Below are 22,178 nucleotides of genomic sequence, written 5' to 3'. Positions count from 1 at the left end.
TCTGTCCTTTATAAATTACCCAGTCTCAGGTATGTCTTTATTAGCAGTGTGAGAACAGACTAATACAATAAGCAAATTGATAAATGTGATTTATCACATGAACAGAATTAAAAACAAAAACTATATGATCATCTCAATAGATCAGAAAAACTTTTGACAAAATCCAGCATCCCTTCATAATAAAAGCCCTTAACAAATTAGGCATCAAAGGAACTTGCCTCAAAATAGAGCTGTGTATGTCAAGCCCACAGCCAACATTATTCTGAATGGCTAAAAACAGGAACCATTCCCCTTGAGAACTGGAACAAGACAAGTATTCCCACTCTTAGCACTCCTATTCAATATAGTACTGTAAGTCCAAGCCAGAACAATCAGGCAAGAGAAAGAAATAAACGACATTTAAATAAGACAAGGAGAAGTCAAACTACCTCTCTTGACTAATAATATAATCCTATACCTAGAAAGTCCTGAAAACTCCATCAAACAGCTCTTAGAGCTGATAAGCAACTTCAATAAAGTTTTAGGATACAAAATCAATATACAAAAATCAATAGCATTTATATACATTAATAAGGTTCTAGTTGAGAGCAAAATCAAGAAGATAATTCCATTTACAATGGCCATAAACAAAAAAGTGAAATATCTAGGAATACATCGAACCAAGGAGGTGAAAGATCTCTGCAAGAAGAACTCAAAAATGATTGCTGAAAGAAATTAGAAATGACACAAATAAGTGGAAAAACATTCTATGTTCATGGATTAGAAAAATCAATATTATTAAAATGACCATACTGCCCAAAGCAATCTACAAATTCAATGTTATTCCTACCAAAGTACAAATATCATTTTTCACAGAACTATAAATTACTATTCTAAAATTTACTTGGAACCAAAAAGGAGCCCAGATAGCCAAAGCAATCCTAAGCAAAAAGAACAATCCACAGGCATCACAATTTCTGACTTCAAACTATACCACAAGGCTACAGTAACTAAAATAGCATGGTACTGGTACAAAAATAGATATATAAACCAATGGAATACATTGGAGAACTCAGAAATAAAGCCTCACATCTACAAGCAATTATAACACTTATAGTCTGATCTTCAGCAAACTCAACAAAAATTATCAATGGGGAAAAGACTCCCTATTCAATAAATGGTGCTGGTGACACTGGCTATCCATATGTGGAACAATGAAACTAGACTCCTACCTATCACCATATACAAAAATTAACTGAAGAAGTATTAAAGACTTCAAGGTAGACCTCAAAATACAAAAATCCTAGAAGAAAACCTAGGATATATCCTTCTTGATATCAGACTTGACAAATAATTTATGGCTGAGTCCTCATAAGTAATCTCAATACAAATAAGAATTATTATTTAACCCAGCAATTCCTTTCCTGGGTATATATTTAATATCTAAAAGTAAATAAATTATTCTACCAGAAGGACACATGCACCCAAATGGTCACTGCAGCAATGTTCCTAAAAACAAAAACATGGAATCAACCAAGGTGCCCATCAATGGTGGATTGGATAAAGAAAGTGTAGTACATATATACCATGGAATACTCTTTAGTTATAAAAAAAAAACATCATGTCCTCTGCAGCATTTTGGTTGCAGCTGGAGCCCATTATCCTAAGGAAAGTAATGCAGAAACAGAAAACCAAATGCTGCATGTTCTCACTTACAAGCGGGAGCTAAACACTGGGTACACATAGACATAAAGATCGGAACAACAGATACTTGGGACTACTAGAAGGGGAGAGAGGAAGGGGAGAAAGGGCTGAAAAACTACCTCTGGGTACTATGCTCATTATTCACATGAAGGGTTTAGTCACATTCCAAACCTCAGCATCATAAAATATACCTTTGTAACAAACCTGCATATGACCCCCTGATTCAGTAGTAAAAGTTCAAAAAGAAAAAAAGGATAAAACACAAAAATATATTCATTACACCTATGAAATCTATTTTATCTAAGAAATCAAAGTAACTGGAAAAACATATCATTTTGTGCATATTATAATACATGAAATATTCAATAATTGTGTACTTCTACAACCAACCATGATGCAGTAGATTGTGCATGACAAATTATTTGGCCAAGAACAAACAGAAAATATTGGACAACACACACACACAAAATATCTATTTGAAGTCACTGGAGAGCTGATGAGGCAACCCATACTTAAGCAAGCAAGATCTAGGAAGAAAAAGAATAGCATAGAAGTTAACTGATATTCTGCAAGTTGTTTTTCCATCTGTATTTTGGAAGGTTGTTGATTTAGGGAAATAACTGAGAAATATTATTGATGTCTATGTTTATGAGGTAGAAAGGAGAGCACAACTTTTGAAAATCTCAAGGGGATCAAGATGATAAAAGTGACATTTGAGGTTGCCTATGCAGTCAGATTGAGGGGGCAAATCATAGAAATAAGGGAGACACAGAGAAGAGAGTTAAATGCTGTGTTTTTCAGCCTTATATAATTTGCTAAGTTCTTAAGTTGAGCATAACGAAAAAAATGGGATTGTCAGCAGAAAGCTGCTAAATATTAAAACATATTTTTAAGTGGTATAGTTTTGAGAAGACAAAAAAATTACAGTTAGAACCCAACAAAAAGTGTCTCTAGTAGACATCCTAGGTCTCAGCTAAGTCCTATGGAAAGCTTCATTCCTAGTAGATGAGATTAAACTGATGTACACTAAACCTTACTAAAAAACTGAAACCCTGTTTCAAGGCAGCTTCATTCTTGGTTGCATTAAGGTGATCTATTTGCTTTCAAGTTGCCTACCTGGAGATAGGGTAAACATTTTATGAAAAAGATATCCAGAGTCTCTCAATTTTTATTAAAATGTCCAGAATTTCAATAAAACAAACAAATACCCATAGTTGATTCATTTGAGATGATCAGATGCTGACTTTAGAATAATGGTGATTAATAAGTCTGATAAATAGACAAAAAAGTGAAGAATTTTATTAGAAAACTACAATTTATTTTTTTTAAATAATCAGAAATTCTAAAACTATAAAATAAATGTAATAATTGAAATTAGGAACCCAATAGGTAGACAACACAGATTGGGCTTAACAGAAATCAAGATCAGTGAAGTAAAAAAAAAGATTAATAGAAAATATCTATACTAATGGATAGTGAGCAAAGAAGAATAAAAAATAGAGAAAACAACAAGACAGTCTAGGTGAAAAGTTGTAATATACATGTAATAAGATTCCCAGAAAGAGAGAACAAGGAAGAAGCAATATTTGAAGAGCTAATGGCTAAAAATATTTTCCAACTGGCACGTGCACACACACACACACACACACACACACACACACACACACACACACACACACAGAGCCTATTATTGTAAAACTGCTGAAAAGAAAAGGCAGAGGAGAGTCACTTCCAAGATGGCCGAATAGTAACAGCTCCGGTCTGCAGTGGCTCCCAGTGAGACTGATGCAGAAGAGGGGTGATTTCTGCATTTCCAACTGAGGTACCTGGTTTATCTCATTGGGACTGGTTGGATAGTGGGTGCAGCCCATGGAGGGCAAGCTGAAGCAGGGGGGGTCATCACCTCACCCAGAAAGTGCAAGAGGTTGGGGAATTTCTCTTTCCTAGCCAAAGGAAGCCATGACAGACTGTACCTGGAGAAATGGGTACACTCCTGACCAAACACTGCACTTTTCCCATGGTCTCAGCAACTGGCAGACCAGGAGATACCCTCCCATGTCTGGCTTGGCGGGTCCCACACCCATAGAGCCTTGCTTACTGCTAGCACAGCAGTCTGAGATCCACCTGGGATGCGGGAGCTTGGCGGGGGGAGGGGTGTCCACCATTACTGAGGCTTGAGTAGGTCACAGTGTAAACAAAGCAGCAGGGAAGCACAAACTGGGTGGAGCCCATCACAGGTCAGCTCCACCTCTGAGGGCAGGGCATAGCAGAAAAAAAGGCAGCAGACGGTTTCTGCAGACTTAAACATCCCTGTGTGACAGCTCTGAAGAGAGCAGTGGTTCTCCCAACACAGTGTTCAAGCTCTGAGAACAGACAGACTGCCTCCTCAAGCGGGTCCTTGACCCCCGTGTAGCCTGACTGGGAAACACCTCCTAGTAGGGGCCAACAGACACCTCAAACAGGTGGGTGCTCCTCTGGGACAAAGCTTCCAGAAGAAAGATCAGGCAGCAATATTTGCTGTTCTGCAGCCTCCGCTGGTGATACCCAGGCAAACAGGGTCTGGAGTGGACCTCCAGCAAACTCCAACAGACCTGCAGCTGAGGGGTCTGACTCTTAGAAGGAAAACTAACAAATGGAAAGGAATAGCATCAACATCAACAAAAAGGACATCGACACCAAAACCCCATCTGTAGGTCACCAACATCAAAGAACAAAGGTAGATAAAACCACAAAGATGGGGAGAAACCAGAGCAGAAAAGCTGAAAATTCCAAAAACAGAGTGCCTCTTCTCTTCCAAAGGATCGCAGCTCCTTGCCAACAAGGGAACAAAATTGGATGGAGAATGAGTTTGACGAGTTGACAGAAGTAGGCTTCAGAAGGTCCATAATAACAAACTTCTCCAAGCTAAAGGAGCGTGTTCTAACCCATCGCAAGGAAGCTAAAAACCTTGAAAAAAGGTTAGATGAATAGCTAACTAGAATAAACAGTGTAGAGAAGACCTTAAATGACCTGATGGAGCTGAAAACCACGGCCCGAGAACTTCGTGATGCATGCACAAGCTTCAATAGCCAATTCAATCAAGTGGAAGAAACGATATCAGTGATTGAAGATCAAATTAATGAAATAAAGTGAGAAGACAAGATTAGAGAAAAAAGAGTGAAAGGAAACGAACAATACAATTAAATCTCCTGGAATTAACACTGAGACAGCAGTAGTTTACTTTTAAAATAATTAAACATTTATTAAGATGGCACGTAAAGTAAATGACATTTGTATTAATTTTAAATGTCAATTTAATATCTAATTCAATGTGAGAAATACATGCATTTCCCACTGAATTCAATTTTATAAATTTTTTACTGTTCAAAAGAAACTCTTCCTAGAGTCAGCCTCAAATGGACTTAACTTTTTTATTTCTTGCTACAAACAGCTTTCTTCAATGTCGCGGTATTTCTATTACTATCTTGATTTTCCTGAGAATATCCTCTGGCACTCAGCACCGTTCTGCCCTTCTAAGTTGGCTCTTGTTCTACAGAAGCTGGAAGCCTGGAAACTACCTTTTCTAAACTTTCATGCCAGCAGTCTTGTGGTTTGGATTATGCTGGGAGGGGTATTAGTGGAGGATTGGGAATCGGGAGGGAAGAAGGAGCTTTTGCACTCTTGAGATGTTGACAGGCAGTAGTAGACTTGGAAAGTCCTGAGTTTTGCTGTGCCTTCTGGGCATTCTCTTAAGAATACCTGTTTCACTGTTGTAGGAGCTGAGATGATCAGCTGCAGTTTCTTGTGATCCCTGAAACATCCTGATTTCCTGAAGCTAGAAGTACTGCTCCCCAGTGCTTCCCAAGGGTTTAAAATCATCTAATTCCATACTTAACTGCCATTCTGCCTAAAATATCTAGGATAGTTTCTGTTTTCTCTTTTCACTGATCCTCTGATGATACACCTTCCAAACTCTTTTTCTAACCCGAATAGTTTTTCTTTTCTTAAATTGAAACACACTTGATGTTTTTATGCCTTGATTTCCCTTCATAATACACTGAAATTGGATTCACTGTTGGTTGGATATATGTCAGTATTTTGGCTAATTTTGTGTGTTTATTCCTTAAAAATGTACAAGAAAATTGCTTTAACTCGGTACAATGAGGATAGTACCAAATAATATTACTTGTTTAGATTTAAAAATATTTCTGTTAATAAGGTGCACTCTATAATCTCATTTAATTCTCACAACAGCTAGATAAGTTGAAGCTATTATATTGGCATTTGACAAATGTGAAAGTCAAAAAAAATAAAGACATTATGAATTAGTTAAGTTTATGTATATCCCTGTTCAAAAGCATGTGTTATTTCTAACACAGAATAACAACTTTTTAAACATTAATTAAAAGACGGAGGAATTCCTCTTCCTTGTCTTATATCCACAAGCTACCTTGTGATTTTCACAATCTAGTATTGCCTGAAATTAGGAAGTTGGATAAAAAATTCCCAGCTGTGATATGAGCAAGTTTATTTGTATATTGAATGACAACAGTCAAGGTCATAATGACAATAATAATAACATCACTAAGTAGTTTGAAGATTATTATTTACTAAACCATGAAACACTTGTATATAATTTTATTTTCCTATAAATCAGTCTTTCTGTGATTATGAAATAATATGCCACATTAGCAGTGAAGCGAGAAAGGCATATAAACAAACACAAACAAAGACTTAAGAATGGACAATTTCCCCTCAAGTTGCCCATGAAGAACAGAACGCCAGAGCTCACATATTTCCTAGTAGCACCTAATTCTCTAAAAAACAAATCACCATGCATCCTGCCCAGATAGAATGTATCATTGCCAGCTTTGTATCAGCCTCATTAGTATGTAAACATAGGTTCCTATAAATCGTTGAGTGCAGCTTTTGAACTTTTACCGGAGAGAGTTTAGTACTTATGGTTATAGCCTGTATTTAGTCCTTGGTTCAATTCCTACCTCTGCCACTTAGTCATGTAAACCTTAGCAAGTTCCACAATGTCTCTAAGCCTTCATTTTCCCATCAATAAATTACCAGTACTGAACTCAGAAGTCTGTGCTTATGCTTAAATGATATAATGTGCATAAGGAACTAAGCAAGTTTCCAGGAACAAATGTGTTTTCAATGTCAGTGATTAATACTTCTGGTTTCCTAAGACACAGGGTTGGAGGGGGAGGAAAAAGGCAAGCCGACGGCATGCATCAATGCATCATTTAGTGTAAAACGGTCATCAAGAGAGAAATTTTTAAAAATTACCCTCAAACTCTACCCTGCTTTTGGTAACAAATATTTCATGTCCTATGATATAATCTAATAATCATACTCACTCATTGCTTTCCCTCCAGTACAAGGAACACAAAATGTGTGTCACACTGAAGTTCAGTTTCTTTCCAATGCTGTGGTTTGCCAGTGGCTCACCCACAGAGCATATGGCCCACAGACATTTTCTTCTACATGCTGCACTTCAATCTTCCCTCCAAGGGGATCCTTTTTCTTCTAGGGCTGATGCGCAAAGTCTCAGGATACAAAATCAATGTGCAAAAATCACAAGCATTCTTATACACCAATAACAGACAAACAGACAGCCAAATCATGAGTGAACTCCCATTCACAATTGCTTCAAACAGAATAAAATACCTAGGAATCCAACTTACAAGGGACGTGAAGGACTTCTTCAAAGAGAACTACAAACCACTGCTCAATGAAATAAAATAGGATACAAACAAATGGAAGAACATTCCATGCTCATGGATAGGAAGAATCAATATCATGAAAATGGCCATACTGCCCAAGGTAATTTATAGATTCAATGCAATCCCCATCAAGCTACCAATGACTTTCTTCACAGAATTGGAAAAAACTACTTTAAAGTTCATATGGAACCAAAAAAGAGCCCGCATCGCCAAGTCAATCCTAAGCACAAAGAACAAAGCTGGAGGCATCATGCTACCTGACTTCAAACTATACTACAAGGCTACAGTAACCAAAATAGCATGGTACTTGTACCAAAACAGAGATATAGACCAATGGAACAGAACAGAGCCCTCAAAAATAATGCTGCATATCTACAACCATCTGATCTTTGACAAACCTGACCAAAACAAGAAATGGGGAAAAGATTCCCTATTTAATAAATGGTGCTGGGAAAACTGGCCAGCCATATGTGGAAAACTGGCCAGCCATATGTAGAAAGCTGAAACTGGATCCCTTCCTTACACCTTATACAAAAATTAATTCAAGATGGATTAAAGACTTAAACATTAGACCTAAAACCATAAAAACCCTAGAAGAAAACCTAGGCAATACCATTCAGGACTTAGGCATGGGCAAGAACTTCATGTCTAAAACACCAAAAGCAATGACAACAAAAGACAAAATTGACAAATGGGATCTAATTAAACTAAAGAGCTTCTGCACAGCAAAAGAAACTACCATCAGAGCGAACAGGCAACCTACAGAATGGGAGAAAATTTTTGCAATCTACTCACCTGACAAAGGGCTAATATCCGGAATCTACAAAGAACTCAAACAAATTTACAAGAAAAAAACAAACAACCCCATCAAAAAGTGGGCAAAGGCTATGAACAGACACTTCTCAAAAGAAGACATTTATGCAGCCAAAAGACACATGAAAAAATGCTCATCATCACTGGCCATCAGAGAAATGCAAATCAAAACCACAATGAGATAACATCTCACACCAGTTAGAATGGCGATCATTAAAAAGTCAGGAAACAACAGGTGCTGGAGGGGATGTGGAGAAATAGGAACACTTTTACACTGTTGGTGGGTCTGTAAACTAGTTCAACCATTGTGGAAGTCAGTGCGGCAATTCCTCAGGGATCTAGAACTAGAAATACCATTTGACCCAGCAATCCCATTACTAGGTATATACTCAAAGGATTATAAAACATGCTGCTATAAAGACACATGCACACGTATGTTTATTGCAGCACTATTCACAATAGCAAAGACTTGGAACCAACCCAAATGTCCAACAGTGATAGACTGGATTAAGAAAATGTGGCACATATACACCATGGAATACTATGCAGCCATAAAAAATGATGAGTTCATGTCCTTTGTAGGGACATGGATGAAGCTGGAAACCATCATTCTCAGCAAACTATTGCAAGGACAAAAAACCAAACACCGCATGTTGTCACTCGTAGGTGGGAATTGAACAATGAGAACACTTGGACACAGGAAGGGGAACATCACACACTGGGGCCTGTTGTGGGGTGGGGGTAGGGGGTAGGGATAGCACTGGGAGATATACCTAATGTTAAATGAGGAGTTAATGGGTGAAGCACACCAACATGGCACATGTACTCATATGTAACAAACCTGCACGTTGTACACATGTACCCTAAAACTTAAAGTATAATTTTTTTAAAAAAGACTAAAAAATTGTGATTGTGGTGTGTTTTATATGAAAACTGTATCATTGTGAGTTTGCCAAAAATTTACACTGTATCACTCCGGCTCTCATAGCCAACATCATCCCTTATATAGATACCTTGTTCCTGGTTTAATTGAACAAACATTCACTTGGCATCTCCTGAGTTTCAGGACTCATGCTAGTTCCAAAGATGAATGAGGCATCATCATTGGCCTCAGTTATGTATTTATATGTAATTCGAAGAGATAGACCAGTAACACAGCACTAAAAACCACATTATAAGCCACTATACAAAAAGCCCTAAACAAAGATAACAAACTCGTATGCAATAAACCAGCACTATTGTTCATCTGTGACTATGGGTCCAAGCTTTTCCCTGGTGGAAACCAGCCCATATGTGTGAGAACTGAAGTTATGGTCTTGGTTTTTATCAGAACTATGCTCCAGGTAACTACATCCATGAAACTGAGCTCTCTGGCAACTTAATTTATTCAGAGCACAGTTGAAATACTGAAAAGCAATTCTTTAAACTTCTGAACAAACAAAATAGCTGTCACAACTTGCATGCACTGAAGTTCACATATTTTACTGATAATATTTACCCTGAGACCCTCAAATGAGAAAGCATTCATTTTTATCAGCTGCAAACCTCACAGCACATCTTAGAGTCATCGATTAGCATGTTTTCAGACAGAATAGTGAAGGTAGGCACAGTCTATACATAAAATTATAATCTAAAAATGCAACTGAGATAAGGGCCGTTCTATGGACCCATTGAGAGCATGCGATTTAAAGAGAAAAAAAAATGACCTTTATAGCAAGAGAAACATATGTTTTAACTAACATAGAAACATCACAGATTCTATGGAAGGAAGGACTGAGGAGTGTGGCTTTGTTTGGTGGGGGAAACTACCCCCTACAAAGGAGAAGCTTGTTGATTATATTATTTAGAGAACTTGTGGTCTGATAACTGATATTTCACTTGCCTCGTTGCTATGTTTCCTCTAATCTTGTTAAATTGTTGCCTTACCAGCACTAATGTTAAGAAGCATTCTCCCAAGACATCTCCTTTCCCTCTGCTCATCCCACCCTCCCCACTGTACTTCATTTGAAGGCCAACTCTGCCATATTCTTGCTGTTTCTCTTTGGGAAGCCACTTACTTCTTCTCAGATTAAATTTCACCATATGTAGAATGAAAATAATAAAATTAACCTTGCAGAGTAATGTTGAAGATGAGAAATCATATATGCAAAAGTCCATCACAGTACCTGGTACACAGAATGAGTGGGTGAATAAAATAAATTAAATATCTAAATAGCAAGGTTTCTGAGCATGAGCTTTCATTTAATGGAAAATATTAAACATCGCAGCCTTCCTAAATATGCATTTAGTTAATGCATTTAACTATTAAAATAGTAGAAATATATCCTGTTGAACATGTAACTTTTATGTTTAAGGTAATCAGAGATCTTCAAATAAAGGAATTCATTGTTACCTTCCACTAATATAATATACAACATTTCTAAAAAAATGGACAATATCTTGACTTTTTCAATACCTTCAAATCTAAGTCTGAGTATTTCTAGAATAACATTTTTTCATATGCACAAATTGAAGGAAAAGGAGATCAACAATTTGTTGTAGCTGTTCTAAATTCAACAACAGGATATTTGGCTTGATTTGTTTTATTATCTCAACTCTACTGACTGTTACGCATATCAAAGGCCTTAATTACAGGGATGAAAGACATGATTCACAGTTGATAAGAAGGAAAATCATTACAGTCGCACAAGCAACCTCCTGCTTCCCTAAGCAAGGATATGGTCTGATTGAGGAACATTGCACTGTAATTATGGTGTCCTTTTAGGCATAATTGTAACAGTAAAAAGAAAAAAAAAATGCATCCTTTGACAACAGTCTGCTTTTTGTTCATGAGATAAATTGGCTCATTTGTTCAGCAACTAATATATCCTTTGTGCTTCATCTTGATTTCCCAGATGATCAAGAACTCAACAAAATTTGCAGTTAATTATTTCTATGTTACTTAGAAAACATTGAGAAAGAGTGAATTTTTTAAAGTTATTTTGGAAGCTGTTCCAGTTGAGAAGCTTTCAGGACTGTTAACTACCATTCACATGGTAAGAGAAGAATAAACTTTCATTCTGAAGTAGAATATATTCTAGGTTAGGGACACATTTATAATATCAGTAATGGTAAGGTATGACAAGTGGAACTTAGCTGATTGGTTTTCCAGGTTAGGGACATTCTTACTGGAATATCATTAATGACAGCCAATAACTTGTCTCCTCAATTTAAACAGTGTAGACAGAAATTTCTAAGTGCCTGATGACTGTTATAATAAACTTTCTAATACATATAAGATTTTTCCCCCTTAATGATAAAAATAAAATTCCAAATTTATTCCCTAGGAGTTCTCTAGGAAACGGCTCATACCTGTGACATAAAGCATAAGGTGTGCTGTGTCCACAGGGATTTCTCCTTCCAAAATCTCAAGTAATGTCTTAAAAACTACCCTTAGCCATGTCGGTTAATAGTTAACTAAAATCACATGCCTTTTCCCTTGTTTTCATTTATAAATTGCTTACTGAGTACAATCAGAAAGAAATTATAAGACTGTACTCTTATTACTACAGGAAAACGTAGGATTTAAAATACTCATCACATTGTGGTTTTAACACAGCTCTCACCACCATTCTGCAAAATGTGCGCGCATACACACACACACACACACACACACACACTGCCCTGTGTCTGCAGTACCTTTCAGGTGGAGGAAGGTTGAAGTCACTTCTATTCACTATTAAGTCAGTTCTTCTTCACCTTAATAATTAGCTTTCAGTATCCTGGAAGACCCAGGTATATTTTGGAATTTCAATTATGTATAACCATATGGGTTATATATAGATTTTTTTCCTACAAATTTCTATTTTTTCACTTCCTCATTACCAACCTAAAAAATCTCTCCTTTAGGAATAAAATGTTGCTTATTAGGTGTCAGTCCAAAAGTTGAACATTCACATATTTTCCAAGATGGCTGTGAAAAAAATTTATTTTTTTCAAGTATGAGGGAATTCATATTTTAATTATTACAGAATCTCTGGAAATCAGTATTTTATCTTAAAGTTTGAAAAGTTAGGCTTAATATATAATAGTATGTTTAAATAACAAATTAGAAATGAAAATTTGTTTTAAAACTGCTCAATTAGCAACATCTATGAACATCTCTCTTCAGGAGTAAAACAATCTCTAATCCTTTTGTTGAATTTCTTTGTCATTGGCTAATATGAGGGCATTGTTATTTTTAGTAAGAAAATTTATTTTATTCACATTTATTATGATAGCTGATGTGATGTTATAACTCTTTTTGCATATTTTTCACTTCCCTGATTGATATCCATGTCTATTAATTTGGTTCTGGTATTTTCTGTATTTTGCCATATTGGCAGATGAAAACCATTTTATTTGGACACAGAGGGTATTTAATAAGTCATGATGATTCACATCAAATGTTACAAGTTTTTTCATTTTGTTTTCTTACAGTTCAGCACTGTCATGTTTAAAAAATTAAATGTTATTTTTAATTGACAAATAATAATTATATATTTATGGGGTACAATGTGATGTTTATAGCAACCTGAAGGTTTCCCAACAAGGTAAGAATAAAACTGAGCTCCTTAGCCTGACGTACAAAGCCCTGTGGGTCTTTCCAGTGGACTTCTCTCCATTCATCTTCTGTCATGATCCCCAACCCCCACTCTGCTCTAGCCACACTGACCTCCTTTCTGCATTTTAATCTAAGCACTTTCTTCCCGTCCTTCGCAATATAAAATTTTCCCTGCTTGTTTCAGTGTAATCATTCATTAATATTTGTTGGACATATGAATGAATAAGTACTAACAGAGTTTAAGGAATTGAAATTCAAGCTGGTCATAGGGCTTGGTGTCAACTCTTTTAACTTTCTGCTGGCTTCTTAATATAACTGGAAAAGGAGGCTGTCCTAAAAAGATTTGGTTTATGTTAAGTTCACTTTTATTGCGGCTGTTCATTGATGGGTTGATAACATACTAAATACATAGCCTATCTTTCTGCAATATTGTATATTATACCAAAACAAAAAACTCATTGAAAATTAGTCCTAATATCTTTACAGGAAAGACCTCAAGGAAATCCATGGCCCAAATACATGTAGTGACCATAAGCCATTTCCTAGAATGACTGTTTGAACCCTATTTAAACTGTAAACATAGTGTTGATTATCCCCATGACCTGGTGAAATATCCCAGAAACACTGGCATTTTGGATTTCAAACAATATGATCAGACTTGTCATGTCTGAAAGTGTCTCAAATATTATTTTTCAGCCCATGAATCCAGATTCATCTTTGTACAAAATATTCTTGCATAGACAGATAGAAGATATTTAACAAGTACAAACAGAGGAAACCCACTTAAATTTGAATTTGAATTTCAGATAAACAACACATTTTTTAGTATACATATGTTTTATGCAATATTTGCAACATACTTATGCTAAAAAAATTTTGTTCTTTAACGGCAGTTTCAATTTGACTGGAAGTCCTGTATTTTATCTGTCAACCCTGACTAGGGCCTACTACTGAGTGATGTCTCCTCCAATTGGTATACATACAATACCTGTCCTATGTACTAAGCACAAAAGGTTAGCATCTGCTACCTGCTGCCTTAGACTTTCCAAATGCAAAATATTCACTGATTGCCTCGCACTGTAGGTCTTAATAGGGACTTCGACCCTAGTTTAGTAAGGAATTGAGCCAGAGATGTGAAAATATAAATTTCTTCATTCCACATCCATGTCTGTTTCCATTGGCAGCACATTTTCTTTTCCTCAAAATCTTCTGAGAGTCCATTAAAAATTGCTTGGTTACATCATTCATCTAACAAACTGCTGTTTAGTCAGTTATTCAGTCAAAACTCCAAAGTGTTTTAAGATGATAGCATTAGTGGGAAATGGTTTATGTTTCCCAAATACTATAAAGTATCCAATAAACCTAGATGGGACATAAAATGTGGCCTCACTAGGGAGCTATCTCCTTTATGTGCAGGGTGAGGTCAACATTTTCACTTAGCAGGCAGAATTTTTCATCCACTGGGGAAACATGATTATTATAATATATGCTGTATTAGTCCATTTTCACACTGCTATGAAGAAATACCTGAGGCTGGGTAATTTATAAAGAAAAGAGGTTTAATTGGTTCACAGTTCCACATGGCTGGGGAGGCCTCAGAAAACTTGCAATCATGGTAGAAGATGAAGAGGTAGCAGGCACCTTCTTCACAAGGTGGCAGGAGAGAAAGGGCATGTAAAGAAAGAACTGTCAAACACTTATAAAACCATCAGATCTTGTGAGAACTCACTCACTATCATCAGAACAGCATGGGGGAAACTGTCCCCATGATCCAATTACCTCCCACCAGATCCCTCCCTCGACATGTGGGGATTATGGGGATTACAACTCAAGATGAGATTTGAGTGGGGACACTGAGCCAAACCATATCATATGCTATGTTTATTTTTAATGATTGTGTTCCTAGTTTGTAAACCCAATTTTCTTTTTCTGATAGGCATTTAGAGTGGGAAAAGAAGACATAAAAAGTGAACTTTTCAGATTTTTGCTAATAAGCGTATAAATGTATCTATCTGTATACCTATCTGTCTTCATATCTTCTATTTATAACAGAGGGAAACACAGGCTTATGCTTAGCCCCTACCTGTCTTATGGGGAAGTTTAAGCAAATGAGTATCTGTTCTCTCTTTTGCATAGATCTTCTCTCAACTGAATCTTTCACATTGGCTACTAAACATGTTAATCACTTCCCATAAAATAATTCTTCCCAGATCCTAAACCACCCATAGCTACTTCCTTTTATTCCTTTTCTTTACTCTACTTTCTTTTATTCATTCATAGCTGAACTTGTCAAGGTTTTTCATAGTCACTCCATTCTGACTTCACTCCCACTGCACTCTATACCTGCTGAACTATTTATTACTTCTGCCTTTACCATTCATACAACCAGCTCTCTTCAAGATTATTATATTACACATTGTGTAGATAAATCCTTAGCCTCTGTAGTAAGCAGAGTTATGACGACAAAAGATGTCCACGTCCTAGTCCCTAGGACCTGTGACTATGTTATGTTATATGGAAAAGGGGAGTTAAGATAACATAAAATTAAGTTTGCTAATCAGATGATCTTAAAATCTTGTATTATCCAGGAGGGCCCAATGTAATGACAAAGGGCCTCAAAAGTGGAAGAAGGAGGTGCAGGAGAAAGAAGCAGAGAGATGGAAGGATGAAAAGAACTTGACCTGATGTTGCTGGCTTTGAAGATGGAGGAAGAGGCCTTGAGCCAAGAATGCCAGTAGCCTGTAGAAGCTGGAGAAAGCAAAGGAATCAGTTCTACCTAGCGCTTCTAGAAAGAAATGCAGCCTACCAATGTGATTTTACTTGGTGAGATCTGTGCCAGATTTTTGACTGTCAGAACTGGGAGATAATAAACTTATGTTTTGTTAGAGCACCGAATTGGTAGTAATTTGTTACAGCAGCATTAGGAACTAATCCAAGTTCCTTGATCTAACACTCCCCTGGCTTTGCCCCAACTTCTCAGGAATCCCTATCTTTCCAGGCTTTTCCTCTTCTCTGAGGTATTTACAGCCTCATGCTCTGTGCTAAATGCACTTTCTACTTACTCTGTGTTAACCTCACCCAGGGCTCTAATCAGCACTTCTATACAGATAACTCACACATTTTCATTCCTAGCCCATACCTCTTGTTGAGTTCTAGGTCTATAAATATAACCGCTTGGCTGACAGCTGACAGCTCTTCTCAGATGGATCACAGTCACTTCAAAACAAATCAGGCCAAAAAAAAATTAAATCATAATCTTTTTTCCCTTTTAACTTGATCCTCTTCTGGTATGTTCTATCATCTCAGTAAATGGAACCATCGTCCATCTAGTCATATAAACCAGACATTTAGGAGTCATCTTCAACACTTCTTCTTTATCTCTTATATCAAATCACTATCTCACATGAATTTTACTTACTAAATTATTGCCAAAATCCATCTATCCTCTTCTTTATAATCTCCATTGGCACCATTCTGGCTGTATTGGTTTTCTATTGCTGTATAACAAATCAACACAAACTCAGCCGCTTAAAACAACACCCATAATATTAGGTCACAGTGCTGAAGATTAGAAGTTTAGCAGGGTGTGGCTAGGTTCTCTGCTCAGGCTGAAATCAAAGTGTCAGCCAGCTGCATTGTCATCTGGAGCTTGGAGTCCCTTTACAAGATCATTCCTGTTATTGCTAGAATTTAGCTTCTTGCAGTTTTAGCATCAAAGTCCCCATTTCCTTGCTGGCTGTCAGCGGAGGACTGCTCCTTGCTTCTTGAGGCCACCTGTGCACATTCTTCATCACGGAGTACCCTCAAACTTCAAGTCAGCAATGGTGCAGTGAATTTTTCTTCTGCTCGCAATCTCTCTGACTTCTCCTCCCACAACCAGCTGGAGAAAGCTCTCTAAGCAATTTTCAGGACTCAAGTGATTAGAGCCAGACACATCCAGCTAATTTTCCTACCTTAAGGTCAACTGTGCGTATAACATAACATAATCAGTGGTACAATATCTAATATTCATAGATTCTAAAGATTAGGGTGGGCTATCTTAGGGGGCTATTTTTGAAATCTCACCTACAACATTGGCACACGCTATCATCATCACTCTCTGTCCTATGAATTCACTTCCTAATTCATCCACCCAAATCCACTTTTCTCCCCCTGGCAGCCAGAGTGATCATCTCAAAACACACTCCCGATAATTTTAACCAGGTGCTTCCTTTTATTGCTCTTAGCCATAGTCGTGGCCTAGAGCCGTGCTGCCTGATGTGCCTTCTGCAGCCTGGTTTCCTGGACTGTTAATGCTCTGCAGGGAGATCAGAACAGAAACCAAGAGCAAGCGTCTAGACATTTTGATAGTGATTTCACAGAGTAGTTTTATGTCTATAAACTAAACATATACTTGGAGCTTGTATTTTATGTACTTTAAAATTTGTTTGGTTTTTAGTGACGTATTATTTACCTTATTTTATGTAAGTATTGTGCCAAGAAAATTGAAACAAACAAAACTGATTCTCCAGCACTGAGAAATGGGGAAGCGTGGGGCCAGTGAGCTCTGCACAGCCTGGTCTCTACTTCTCCAGCTTCATCTCATGCCATGCAGCTTCTCACTCTCTACCTCTGGCTATAGTGGTGTTCTGTAGTCCCTTTGGCATGCCATGTTTCTTGTGCCTTGCTGACTGCTCTCACTAGGTTACAATCTCCCCATTATATTTTCTCAGATACCTCCAATATGTACTTATCACAGTCTCAATATTTCTTATTTATAAATATGCAAATATTGTTAATGTCTTCATTCCTCCTAAAATGTAAGTTCTGTGGTGTCAGAGAGCTTACCTTCCACCTAAGTGGCACACACCCCGCTCCCTGCACAGTGCCTGACACATTACTGGTGCTCAACAAATGCATACAGAAAAAGAGGATGAATAAATACACAAAGGTATTCCATATTATTCAAATTCAAATAGCGCCTCAGCCAAGTATTACCTGTTTGATCTTAATCATGTTAGTTAAATCTGCTGTTTCATTGTTATTATAGGTAAGATGGAAATAATATTGACAGCTTCACAAGACTGATATGAAAATTAAAGCATGTGCAAAGGCTTTCTTTGAAAACTGCAAGAGGCTTTTAAGATGCAATTAATGAGTTGGTGTAAATTATGTTTCTTCCAACACATTGGCAAAAGGGCGAAATATACAACAAATCTAAAAGTCCTTTGGAAATATGTGCCACAGTCTTTAGAAATATTTAATCTTTGCTTCAATCATAGGGGTTCTAAAATTTTATTCTAACATAATAATCGGGCAAATATGCAATATATATGTAAAAAGATGTTCATTCCAGCATTATTTCTAATAAAAAAGTAAGAAAGACTCTAAATATAACCTCACACGTGAAGGGACTGTGGTAACCTGGTTGGCACAATTTAAGAAACAACCTAAATATGTTTCCCCCATATGAAGAGGGGTATGGACCAATGCTGGTAGAGGGCTGAGTATGGTACACAGTGTGACTGAAGAAAAAAATCTTTTTATACCCAGATACACAATGCTTTGCAGTGACAAGAGCCTACGAGTGTAACCCAAGCCTGAAGATTTATGATCACAATCATAGAGTAACCTCAACCTGAACATGACATGGAGAGGTTAGCTTGAGATTTACACTAACACTGGTGGCAGTGGGGCAGTAGACTCGATCCCCGGCACATAAGCTGTACAACTATTTCTATCAAGAGTCGACTTCTCCAAAACTGGTATCACTATGAGCAGAGAATCCCTGAGGCCTTCCTTTATGGTAGCGATTTAAAAAAAAAGCAACCACTTCTAAAGTAGATGTTTCAGAGGCAGTTATGGGGTTTCCAATCTTAATGAAATAATAACTCTGAGTTTTAAAATGTCTGCACCAACACAAGAGAAGCAATGTTCTCTATAAACACTTAGCAAGCATCCATAATTCTCGATTAATTCTTGGAGGCTCCAAAGTAGAAATACTGGATTGCCTGTGAGCTGGAAGGAGAGTGGCTTGAGACATTAATTTGAATGTAAAAGAAGTATGAATTAATATATCCTTCAAGTTGGTTCTACTCAGTATGCCGAACAAAATGCCTCAACTCTTTTTAAGTAAGAAAAAAAGATATGCTGTTTTGTTACTTCTCTCCCATATCCTTGTGCTCAATTAGGAAAAGATGAACTGATAAAATATACCGAGGACCCACCAGTCTAATTCCTGAGGATCCTTGGCAGGAACAGAGCCCAAATGAGAAAGGGTCTTTCTAAAGGGATGTTGCTTATAACTCACTGGAAACCACTTGAATAATGACTCTGAATTTGGAAGAACCGATCGGTGGAAGCAAACTTAAGTTCTACAGAGATGCTCTACTATGCAGAATTCAATGGTAGGAATAATGGCACAATGGACAATCCATGCTCAGCCTTAAGGCATTTCTGCTCAAATTTTCATAACACTACTGTAGATCCTAGATTTCTCTAATATTGATTAATATCACAAAGCCTATTTAGGATGTGGGTTGGAAGTTGTGTTAGCTAAGAAAAGAGAGCTTTCAGTTACAGCAAAACCATGGAGAAACATTCTGTCAGAAGGTAGAAGAAATAGAAGATTTTTACAAGGAGTACTAGAAAAAATTAATAAAGGAAGAGGGTGAAATATGGGCATAAAATGCACAAGAATAAGTGTATTTAGCAAAAACACATGCTTATGTGGTGCTCATGATGTGCCAGGCACTACTCAAAGAACTTCACGTGTATTTACTCATTGAATAACCTCTATAAGACCTATGAGGATGCTGCCAGTATTAACTGAGGAATGAGAAAACTGAGATGTAGAGGGCTGACAGCCTTTCCAGGTAAGTAGCTGAACTAAGGTTTAAATCCAGGCATCCTGGCTCTAGGCCTGTTTTTCAGCCACCACGCCTTGTAAGAAGTGGCAAAAACAACGTTTTTGTAGGAGAAATTTAATGGGAAGCAAGAATTTGGGAATTTGGCTGGATGAAACATGCAGGGTCCAGGAAGAAGTTGAGCATGCAGAAAGAATTTGGAAATGTGGCCAATAATAGCACCGTGCAGTTTGAGAGTTCATATGGTGGAAACAGCCATGTGGCACTGGCAGCCTCCTTAAACTTGATCTTCCTGTCCCATTGCCCTGGGCTTGGCTTTCCTTCACTACAAAGAACCCATTTGTTACTTCTAGTGAGAAAATTGAAAGTGGCTGTGGGAAATAAAGCTGAAATTACTCAACATCTGAGCAACCTGTTAGAAATGGCAATGACTGTCCTTAACCTTGAAAAACTCTCTCAAATGAAGACTGCTTGTAGCTGATTTCAAAGGTAAAAAGGAACACTGTTTTAATATCTGTGCGTTAAGCCCTTTATGTTATGCTTTGTTAGTCTTCACTGGCTATAATTTTTGCCACCATTATTTTATTTTTTGCCTTTTTGTCAGGGGTAGCACAATCATTAGCTCCTAAAATAATGAGAATTTAAGGTATTAATATTTTTCCTTTTCAGTGATTGTATGTAATTTAGGATTAAAAATACCAATAACTACATACTATTTTAGGCAAAGAAAGGAAATGAGCAAATGTTCACTATTTTAAGATGAGAGCATTATATAAAGGAAATTGTGGCCATAAAATTTAACCAAATCATGATTTATTTCTTATGATGAGAAAAACCTGGAATCGCATGAAAAAAAAAAAAAAATAGTCTCCAAACTGATAGGGAGCCAAGAGACCAACAGTTGATTCGGACAAGACCAAGCTAGTGAGTAGGTGAGTTTATTAGGACTTACATATGAGGCACTCCTGGACTGCAGCAGAACGGCTTTAGAGGTCTGCCCTGTCCCTTGTCTCTAAACCACTTTTAAGCCAATTTTCTGGCTTTTTGCCTACTGTGCTTAAGTGATGAGACTAGTTTCACCTGCTCGTCCACTGAGCCGCATGGCCTTGGCTCATTCTCTGGCCTTTAAGGTTCAGGCAGCAGGTATATGCCCTTGACTAGGCAGGTGGGAGACCCATCATACTAAAATCCATTCCATCTTCTAACTCTTTCATTCTTTCCACCAATCTTGCATGAGAGTCCCTGAGTGAGGGAGGAGAATTATACAGGTTTATAATGCAGAGCCATGGCTTGTGCATACAGACCATATCCGCAGCGTACACAATAGCATAAAAAGCAGAATCTAACAACAATTATTATATAATGCCTATTGGCAAAATACCACTCCAGTGAGAAGGTAAGGTATGTAACCAATTTGAGAATGAGTCAAAGAGCCTAACTGGGCTATATCATGGATCTGAGATGACAAATGATTTAAAGCATCTATGACATTATTTTCTTTATCAGTGATATGGTTTGGATTTGTGTTGCCACCCTAATCTCATGTTGAATTGTAATTCCTGATGTTGGAGGCAGGGCCTAGTGGGAGGTGATTGGATGATGGGGGCAGTTTCTCATGGTTTAACACCATCTCCCTGGATGATGTCCTAATAGTGAGTGAGTTCTCATGAGATCTGGTTGTTTAAAAGTCTGTAGCACCCTCCGCCCCCTCTCTTCCTCCTGCTCTGGGTATGTAGGATGTGCCTGCTTCCTCTTTCACCTTCTGCCATGATTGAGGCCTCCCCAGAAGCTGAGCAGATGCCAGCATTCATGCTTCCTGTACATCCCGTGGAACTGTGAACCAATTAAATCTTTTTTCTTTATAAATTACCCAGTCTCAGACATGTCTTTACAGCAATGCAAGAAAGGAATAATACAATCAGGGATATAGGTATAACAGGTAATGCCTATAAGGGTGCATGTTGTTGGATCTCTGTTGAGTTAGTGATTGGGTTTCCAGGTAGAGGCGATCCCCGGTGAACCCAGGTTGCATTATTGGTGCTGTTGAACCAATCATTCCAGTTCTGTAGGGAGAAAGACAGACTATTCCAAGGCCTACCATTATCACTTGACAGTGGGAGGTATTCATATACCCTAAAATTGAACTGGTTGCTGACTGCAGCTGTGGTCATAGCCCAGTCCAAGAAGACATTACCAGCTGCCATGGGTAGCAAGAGCCATAGCCTGTGGGTGTAAACACAGGTGTTTAGTAGGAACGTTCATAGGTGCATCCATTCCTCATAACATAATTACTGCTGTACTTTCTCCCATTGGCCCTATTAGGGAAGCCATCACAGGTCTCAAGCCTGTCTTACAGTACCACATATGGCTTCCCTCCCCAGGAGCAAGCACAATAGCTAATTGGTAAGTTTCCGGCCTTGCTCACACTATCTGCACTAAGACTGTTCCAGCAGATATTAGTGCTGCCGTGAGCGGATATCATAAAGCTCTTGGGCCTCCATCAAGGAGCACAGCTGGGACTATTTCCCCTCCAACAGTCTT

This window comes from Homo sapiens, chromosome 2, assembly GCF_000001405.40.
Source record: "Homo sapiens chromosome 2, GRCh38.p14 Primary Assembly".
Classification (NCBI taxonomy): domain Eukaryota; kingdom Metazoa; phylum Chordata; class Mammalia; order Primates; family Hominidae; genus Homo; species Homo sapiens.
Note: the sequence above shows the minus strand (reverse complement) of the source record.